A 9,676-nucleotide genomic window follows, 5' to 3' on the forward strand; every position below is an offset into this window, starting at 1 on the left:
AAGTTGTTTCCTTTAATATGCAGATTTAGCCTGTTTAGCTGACAACTGCCAGGGTAAGGAAACAGGTTATCAAGAGTTTGCAAGTCTAAGATAGGAAAAAAAAAAAAAGGAGGTCTTAAGAATCTATAAGATGTATTTGTATCAGCATACCTAATACATCTATTTATTTATGTGCTGTGTACACAAAGTTTCACTACTGAAAATATGTAAAGAATTCTCATTAATTGGCTTAAGAAAATAAAGGTGTTTGAATCAAATACTTTACCGGAAAAAAAAAAGACTAGTCAAATGCTTTTTCAAGTTTATGTAACTTAAGTAAAATCCTTAATAAATAAGCTAGCTTTAAAATTGTTCGTAAAGTAATATTAGAAATGTCTTAAGAATTGCCAGCATACAATTTTTGGTTGCATTTATTAATCAAGTAATTTCATATTTATCCCTGCCAAATACTATAAGGTGTCAAAATTTGGCATAGGAGTAACAAAACTATAAACCCAGTCCAATACAGAATGATTTTTGCTGTGTAATTTTTAATAAATAAGACATTGATATTGGTTTAATGAAAATAGCTACACCTTGAATTTAGTGAGATTACTATAACTTCTAATACTGTGACTTTAGGCAGTCTATTACACAGGCAATAAGGAGGGTTTTTCTGGGGAAAGAACTGTTATCATCTTTGTTTCAGACTAAACTATAAACTAAATTCCCCCCAATGTTAGTCCAGCCTATGCTCAGGAATGAACAAACACAGCTTGGAGGTTAAAAGCAAGATGGATTCAGTTAGGTCAAATCTTTTTCAGTGTCTCAGTTATAACTTTGCAATGGTGGTCCCATAACTTTAAATGATGACTATTGCAGTTTTCATAAATAATCTAGGTAAACAAAATAAAATAATTAGTAAATGTAATGGGATAAATACTTGCAGACAAACATCATAAATTAGAATAAATTTACATTAATTAAATAATAGAGATTTCATTTTTTGGGTGTTTTCCAATGAAAATTTGGGAAAACATTCTTCTTAAAAAAAAAGTGTGTCCTTTTTAAAAAGGGTGAACAAGTTTTGTCTAATCCAAAGCTTAAAGTTTATGTAGGAAACAAAGTAAAGGAACCAGAAAATAAGAGAGATGTAAAGAAAATTATAAAAATAAAGAGGTTTTGATGTGATAAGAAAGCTTAAAGAGAAATAATTTTATATATAAAAAAAATCTTATATAGTAAATTTAGTCCTAAAACGACTGGTTGTTTAAGAAAGAGGGATGTTGGCTGGGCACAGTGGCTCACACCTGTAATCCCAGCACTTTGGGAGGCCGAGACAGGCAGATCACGAGGTCAGGAGATTGAGACCATCCTGGCTAACATGGTGAAACCCCATCTCTACTAAAAATACAAAAAAATTAGCCAGGCATGTTGGCAGGTGCCTGCAGTCCCAGCTACTCAGGAGGCTGAGGCAGGAGAATGGCATGAACCCGGGAGGCAGAGCTTGTAGTGAGCCGGAAAAAAAAAAAAAAAAAAAAACGAAAGAGGGATGTTAAGGACAAACCATAAAATCTAAGAATGTCAGGAATGGTCTGTGTAAGCCACAATGAGACAATTTATTAAAAAAAAGAAAACTTGAATATGATCAAGTTGTTTATAATTAAAGGGAAATTATAATGCTCTGTCCAGAGATTGGGCTTGATGTAAAAAAACACACTTATACACTAAATTATTGGTTGGAACAATGAAATTTTCTTAAGAAGCCGATCCACTCTTAATAAATAATGAGATTCCAATCTTTTTAACCGAAAGTTCAATTTTTATTGTTTTTCAGCTTTCTCGCCCCTTTTAAAAGGCCTATTTTTCTGTTTCATAAGGTTTTTAATTATTAATTCTTTTTTTAAATTATACTTTAAATTCTGGGGTACATGAGCAGAACGTGCAGTTTTGTTACAAAGGTATATATGTACCATGGTGGTTTGCTGCACCCATCAACCCGTCACCTACATTGGGTATTTCCCCTAATGCTATTCCTCCCCTAGCCCCTCAAACCCCAACAGGCCCCGATGTGTGATGCTCCCCTCCCTGTGTCAATATGTTCTCATCGTTCAACTCTCACTTATGAATGAGAACATGTGGTGGTTGGTTTTCTGTTCTTGTGTTAGTTTGCTGAGAATGATGGTTTTCAGCTTCATCCAAGTACCTGCAAAGGATATGAACTCATCCTTTTTTATGGCTGCATAGTATTCCATGGTGTATAAGGCCACATTTTCTTTATCCAGTCTATCATTGTTGGGCATTTGCGTTGGTTCCAAGTCTTTGCTATTGTGAATAGTGCCACAATAAACATACATGTGCATGTCTCTTTATAGTAGAATGATTTATAATCCTTTGGGTATATAACCAGTAATGGGATGGCTGGGTCAAATGGTATTTCTAGTTCTAGATCCCCTAAAATCAAATGTAAAAGGCCTATTTTTTTAAAGATCTAAATGAAATGTTTTCTTCCAACATAATATTCTGTGCAGTAAAGGAGGTCTTTTCTTTTGCCTTTTGGTAACTGGCCTAACAGATTTTATGTTTTATTGAGATAATTACCATACCATTATTATTAAGTTTGGTTTGCTTAGGAAAAAATAAGATACATGTATATATTTTTTAATTAAAGTTATTACATCCATGTATCTTCCTATATGTGCCTTTAAAGTTCTTATGACATTGAGTTACAGGGCTTTGACACCTGGGTATAAAAAAGACACCAAGACCTACTAAATCTTAAATACTGATAGCAATTAAAGCCTCATCCTCAGGTCCTGTAGAAGATGCCAATCAAACTATAGTGCATTCCTGAGACACAGGGCCAGAAATTAAAGCTATTCAACTCCTCAAGGCCCAGGGGCTATAGTGGAAGAGGTGGGCACATGAGATTGTAAGGGCTGATTTTGAAAGATAAAATAAATTCAGTTTCTCTCTAAATTAATCATCAATGTCAAATTACACTGATGCAAAAACAGTATATGGGCCCCTATGTCAGATTAACAAGGTTTTCTTTAAGCATTAACCAATTCCTTAATAAAGGTTATAAAGGTTATCAAAGATTTATGGAAGTTATGTCTTATGGTCAAGATTAAAATTATATAATTGGTAAAATTTTGAAAAAGAAAGTTAATTACCTTCATGATGTTTTTATTAGGGCTTATTGTTTGGAAAATTAAGTCTCCTCTCTCAAAGAATGAAGGTTTTCACCTTTTTTTTGAAATCCTTGAGTTATCACTTTGGTTAAATGAATGGCTTACTTACAGAATAGTAATCCTATTTTGTGAAATCAAGTCTTTTAAACCCTTGATATTTGACAGACTTTCCCAAATCAAGTTATAAATTATGTCTTTTTCTGACCTAATTAATCCTTTAAGATATTAGGTTTAATAAAGTCCAAAAATGACATCATTTGGCTTATTGGGTACAAAAATTATGCAGGAAGCATTGTCAAATATGAAATGGCATTTGGTTTTCTTTGGGCTGTATTAGTATAAATATGTTATTGGTATGTGTTGCCAAATTATGGGAAACTCCTGTAATTCTCATATGACATGTACATTATAAGTAATAGTCATAATTGTTATGTTAAAATTATTGTGTGCCACAGAGGTAACAGATTTTCTTGTCAACTGTGCCTTTGACTATGGCTGCCCTAAAACTTTTTGTCATCCCTGGACAACTGTTGGGTTGTTCTGGTACTCTTTAGAAGGTGGTTTTATAATCAGCTATTAAACTGTAACAGGTGCTCCTGAATGCAGGTTTCTGATAACTTTGGAGATTTTGATATCAGAATAGAGGAAACATTTTTAAGACTGATGGAGAGCTAAAATATTCACAAATATCAGGCAGAACAGGAATTAACTGCATGAACTGAACTAATATTTTTGACTTTTTGCTTTGTTTTGTTTTTCAGGGTCTTAAAACTTTTGAGCTATTGACAGCTTTTAACAATGTATTAAAATCCTATGAATAAACTTTGGAGCATATTTGTTTCTCCCTGATTTTGCCAGAATTTGGAAACTATTTGTGTGTATTCTTAGCTTATGGCAATACAGTTATTTGTATAAGTGCAATAAAAATCTGTTTCCATTTGTAACAGGACACAATTGGAAAAATCTGGTTATTTTTACCAAGCCTTTGACTGGAATGGTGTGCTTTCCTTTAAAGAATCAAATGACTTAATGGAGCCAGTAAAAGTATTTTGGAAGACTGCCTTCATAGTTTCCACAGTCCCTGTACAGGGTTTCTGACCTGTAGTAAGTAAAGAATGTCACTTTCTGACAGGTCCAGGAGCCCACAGTTTATCTTGAAACCCCAAGAGTAGAGGAAATTCACCCAACTTGTAGGTATTTGATGGTAGAAATCGATGGCTGGGCTTGGCTTTAAAAAAGTCTTATCTGAGATTCTTTCTGTGGAACAAAGTTCCATCAAAGCCAATTTAAAAAATTCTATATGAAAAATAATTATTCTTGCTGTACTTTATACAAATAATCTGTCCAAGTATAATAAGGCAAATCAGCCCTACTATGATTTTTCTTTAGTAAAAATGGGAAACTGGAGACAGAAAGATCATGTTTCAAAAACTATATTACACCTCTTGTTATATTCTAGTCTTGCCTCATGTTTTTCAATTTTTATTATTTTCTACAGCTTCGGCTGAATTCTAATTTTTCCTGGCTACAAGCCTCCAAAATAATATTTTCACTTTTTTCTTCTTTCTTTTCCTTTTTCCCACATTTTTTCCTGATTTGAAATCACTGAAAACTAAGCTGTGCTTTCCTAAAGCCCTGTGAACTGAAGCTAGACATCTTAAAATTCAGAAGAAAATAACAGCAACCTACTTACATATATAAGCCACTTTCATACCTGCCTACTGATGTATGACTTCAGAGTAATATGGCCTATATCGATTTTCCAGAATTATTCTTCAGTTTGTTACTGTTTTTCTCCCTTCCTCCCCCTATTTTCTCTTTACAGGACATGAGACTTCACAACCTTCTAACCATGAGCTTTCCTAATAACTTAGGGCCTACCTGCCTAGGAATAAACCATTCTAGCCATGCGATACAGACAAAACCTGGAACCAAAGAATCATTTTCTTCTAAAATGCCTTATCCAAAACATTTGTAAAAAGAAAGGAAAGAAATGTGAAAGGAATATATCTTGGGCCCCAAAATCATTAAGCCAGAAAGAAAATTCAAGCTGGGAACTACTTGGGGCAAACCTACCTTCCATTCTTTTAAAAGTTATCCCTCTACTCCCGAGATAATTGCTTATCTGATTGCCTCCTTTAGAAAGACTAATTATAAACTCAAAAGAATGCAACTGTTTGTCTTTCACCTACCTGCAACCTGGAAGACCCCTCCCCACTTTGAGTTTTCCCACCTTTCTGGACTGAACCAATGTTCATTTTACATGTATTGATTGATGTCTTCTGTCTGCCTAAAATGTATAAAACCAAGCTGTGCTCTGACCACCTTGGGCACATGTCATTAGGACCTCCTGAGGCTGTGTCATGGGTGTGTATCGTCAAACTTGGCAAAATAAACTTTCTAAGTTAACTGAGACCTGTCTCAAATTTTCTGGGTTCAAAATATCTATCTAGTCTTAAGTAAAACACAAAATATGTAGAGAAAACAGATGTTTCTGAGGAACTTTGTTACTAAATATAACCATAACAATTAATTGCATTATTACTACTTTCCAATACATTAAAAATCTAAAATTCTGCCCTACAAAGAAATCACAACATGAAGGCATTATTTAAAACCTCTCCTTTTTCCATTATTTTGCCAATCTCTTTGAATCATCTTTAATGCTTGCTGAGATTGAAATTTACATAACAACCAGTAACCATCTAGTTGTTCCCCAATCTCTTCACCTTCTAACATCTAAATTCAGGGCTTCTAAAAAGTACTTTAAACTTTGGTTGAAGTGAGAGGCAGTGGTGGAGACTTACTTATAGGTGATTTTTTCTTCCTGAGGAGGAAATACAGTCTTCTTCATATACCTGTTGGTTCCTTCCCTCTCTGCCTTAGGTGATCCAGCTGTAACCATGATACTCTCCCTTTCCCCCAGTGCAAGCAGCTGAACTGTCCATGATGTCATAATCACAATTCCATTACCTCACTGTGCTGGAGGCCTTAGAGGAAGGGGAAGTTGTGAACAGCCCTGGGCTCTCCTTAAGCTTTGCAAAGTGTTCTGGATAGGGCTAATTGAAGAACCAAGAGAGAAAGGCCCCCAAACTGTTGTAAATTCTAGGCTTAAAAGGTTTAAGCCCATCCTGCAGCTAGAGGAGGGGTTCCTGGGACTCAGAGCAGACCCTTTAAGACCATGGACTACATTTCCCAGCAGCCTTCATGTCACATTGGCGTCCTCTACTGGTGGAGAGGGGAGTCCTTCCAAGAGAGGGCTGTAGAGGGCAGAGCAGGGCAGGAGAGCAGCTGAGAGGAGCCTTGGCTAATACTATTAAGGACCAGGATGACAAAGAAAACCACTTCTTTCCCCCCGAAACAAAACAAAACAAAAGACCAAAAAATAAACAAAAAAGAGTTTTGTATGTAAATCTGTGTGTCAGAGTTGTTTTCCTAGGAAACCTGACCATAAACATTTGAAGCCAGGAATCAACCAAAGTAGCCAACTCTAAAATGGGAGTTTGGGGTTGGATGGCTTGCTGGCTGGTTGGCTGTGAAGACCCTACTGTTAGTGGTAGTTGACTGACTAATAAATAGCCCATGGGTATGACTTGTGGTAGTGGTATAATTATTAAACTTCCGTTGGTGTTTAACTGAGAAGAAATACCAGTGGAAAGGAATATATTAGAAAGTGCAATGGCTCAGGATTTTGAGAGTTCTATAGGAATTAGTAATACTAACTTTATAAAATCCAGTGGGTGCTGCTGAGTTTCTTCAATGCTTCAGAACGTCTGGGGATGATTAATCTCCAATTAAAACCTAAGTGTGAAAGCCAGATGGCCTCCTTGGCAGCATGTAAAGAGACTCATTTCCTACAGCTGGAACATAGGAAAAGCTCAGGATCATGGCTAAGTCTTAATTATGAGAGAAGGAGAGCTCCAGAGAAAGCTGTATTCTCAATGCTAGCAATATGTTACACTGAGGTCAGAGACCTGATAGAAAGGATTGGGACTCTGAGACTTCATATAGAGTTATCTTTGTCAATGTATTCAGAAGTCATTAAACCTCCGACTCTCTTGGAACCTCTATACCTGCAGAATATCTCAGTCCTCTGTGTTAAAGCTGAAAACTCAGCTATTGAAGAAAATGCACAGTTATCTTCCTTGTTGAAAACATGTGCTCCCCTCATCATCTAACCTTACATCTCTTTCTAAGTGCAGTTTTAATGATTAGCATTGTATTAGTTTCCAGTGTTTGCTTTAACTAGTTAGCACAATTAGTGACTTAAAACAACAGAAATTTATTATCTTATAGTGGAGGCTAAAAGTCTGAAGTCAGTATCAGTGATCCCAAATCAAAGTGCTGTCAGGATTTCTGGTCATTACGGGCATTTCTTGGCTTGTGGTTTAATCATTCCAATTTCTGCCTCTATCTTTGCCTTCTGCCTTCCCCTCTTCTGTCTGTGTTAAAACTCCCTCTCCCTCCCTCTTATAGGGGTGCATGTAATTGTATTTGGGGCTCACCCTAGTAATTCAGGATAATATTCCCATCTCAAGATTCTTAACACATTTGAAAGACCCTTTTGCCTCATAACATTTTTATGTCACAAGCATTAGGACTTAACATTTTTATGTCTCAAGTATTAGGACTTAATATTTGGGGGTGGCCATATTTAGCCTACTACAAGCATTAATTCATAATATTATCCGGTATGGAAAGGAATAGACATTTTTATTAATGGTACAGAATACGTCATAAGTGAATTGCAGATCTTAGCCAACAATTACTAGAAGGAGACAGGATTGTATGTGTGTGATTGGATTCTGAAGGTGCTGAATCAAGGGTGGAGGAATGTAATAATGAATTAAGGAGAATTTTAGACTACATAAGATCACTTTCTCATGATACAGTAAGCATCACATTAAACTACATGTTTTAGCTTTTTAGGTGCTTGCCACCTAAGCACTTTAGACATTTTGTGTATAGGGACCAGAAGATAAGTAAAGAACGCATTATCTTGACAAGGGTGTTTTCTTCTGATCAGCAGAAAGTGGTACAGATGGTTTTACACAATTAGGGAAGGAAGAAATAGGTGTGTAACTCATGCCATCAATTCATTTTAGTATCCCTTAGTGTTTTATTTCTAATTGTAACCATAAATGTATTCATGCAACATTTCTGGCCTCAGAAGAGGGTGGTTACCAAGAACTCACATCACTCAGGAATGAGAGTTTGAGTTCCGTTACCACATAAGAAACCAAACTGCAAAGATGATAGCTGAGCATGAGAATTTAGAATAAATAATAGAGGAAGAAGGCTATAGAAGCCAAGCTTGGCCTTGAAAACAACTACGGAGCTGGGTCTGCGTGTCACTAACCTCCCTCTTCTAAATTTGAACTGAGAAAGAGAGGCCCATAGGAGCCATAGAGGAGCTGCTTCCCGCCTGTGCATATGTTAAGCGTATTTGTGCGGTGCAAGAAGTATGAAATTGTAGCAAAAAATGTTTTCATGCTTCTGAATGTTCATGGCTTTCAGAGCAACAAATACAGGCAATCTAGGTTAATGGACTGTTGAACAGAAACCTAAGAATAAAATACTCCTGAGAGATGTATAAGTTTATCTCTTTCTGAACCATGTGTTTACACTTTGAAAAGGAAAAAAACCTCAAGCCATGAAGGAAGGCAAAAACCTAGGGACTTTTCTTTGAGATTTGTTTACATTAGGAAAATAAGATTTCTCTTCTTTCCTCAGGAGGGGAGGGCGGTAGCTGCACAGCAGCTCCTTATAAGATCCTAGATTTGTCACTTGAGGGCTCCTCTTCTGTAGCACAGACCCGAAAGTGCAGTTGACAACTGCCCTCATTTCATTGCCTTGGAGAGACTGGGATAAGGGAAAGTGATGTTGTTATTGCTGTAATTAATTCTAATGTCTGATCCAGAAAATAGATGCTTTCTTTCCGAAGAAAATTATAAATATAGTGTTAAAACCTGATCAGAGTCAGGTTTTGACAGCCATGCAGTTGTGCTGCTCAGATGTCCTTTCAAGAGAACCTGTTGTGAGCAGCGTAGATGGTAACAATCCTCCATCTGTCACACATTTGGATTTCCAGCAGTCTCATGACAAGGCTGCATTCTCCCCGGATTTCCTATAGACAAAGAATAAGCATGACTAGGGAATAAAGTTGGGTTGTTTCTAGCCCAATGTATTACTCCACTAATGGGCATTTTTTCCTCTGGGGCTTCTCGTTTACTTGGTCAAGAATTTCTCAGAGCTTCACTGCAGTCTGCGACTCTTCCAAATCAATTCTTCTTTCTTTCCCCTTGTTTTTATAGTTATAAATTCTATGTCAAGGTTACAAGGTTCTGCCTACCTTCTCCTGCCCATTAAATGTCTTCATCGTCTAATTATGTCTTTGTGTGTGCTTCTCAGAAGACCTTAACTAACAACAACGAAAACCAAACAATTTGCATATAGATGGGATCCTAAACAACATACATTTCTGGTCTTGCCCAACTCTTCTT

The 9,676-nt window shown here is 36.3% G+C and overlaps 1 long non-coding RNA gene across 1 annotated transcript in view, besides 1 other annotated feature; it reads right to left on the reverse strand.

Moving 5' to 3' along the window:
- The window catches only part of LINC01609 (long intergenic non-protein coding RNA 1609), a 137,243-nt gene extending 131,141 nt beyond the window's left edge, over positions 1–6,102 (reverse strand). The window contains exon 1 of the long non-coding RNA NR_125418.1: positions 5,981–6,102. This is a non-coding gene — a long non-coding RNA (long intergenic non-protein coding RNA 1609). The remainder of the gene's footprint in view (positions 1–5,980) is intronic.
- Positions 6,149–6,198: an enhancer, noted in NCBI's record as "active region_27817". NCBI's record gives its function as "activates an Ori minimal core promoter by ATAC-STARR-seq in GM12878 lymphoblastoid cells {active_cell/tissue: GM12878}" and the evidence as "EXISTENCE:reporter gene assay evidence [ECO:0000049][PMID:35858748]".

Source organism: Homo sapiens, chromosome 8, assembly GCF_000001405.40.
Source record: "Homo sapiens chromosome 8, GRCh38.p14 Primary Assembly".
In the NCBI taxonomy this organism is placed as follows: domain Eukaryota; kingdom Metazoa; phylum Chordata; class Mammalia; order Primates; family Hominidae; genus Homo; species Homo sapiens.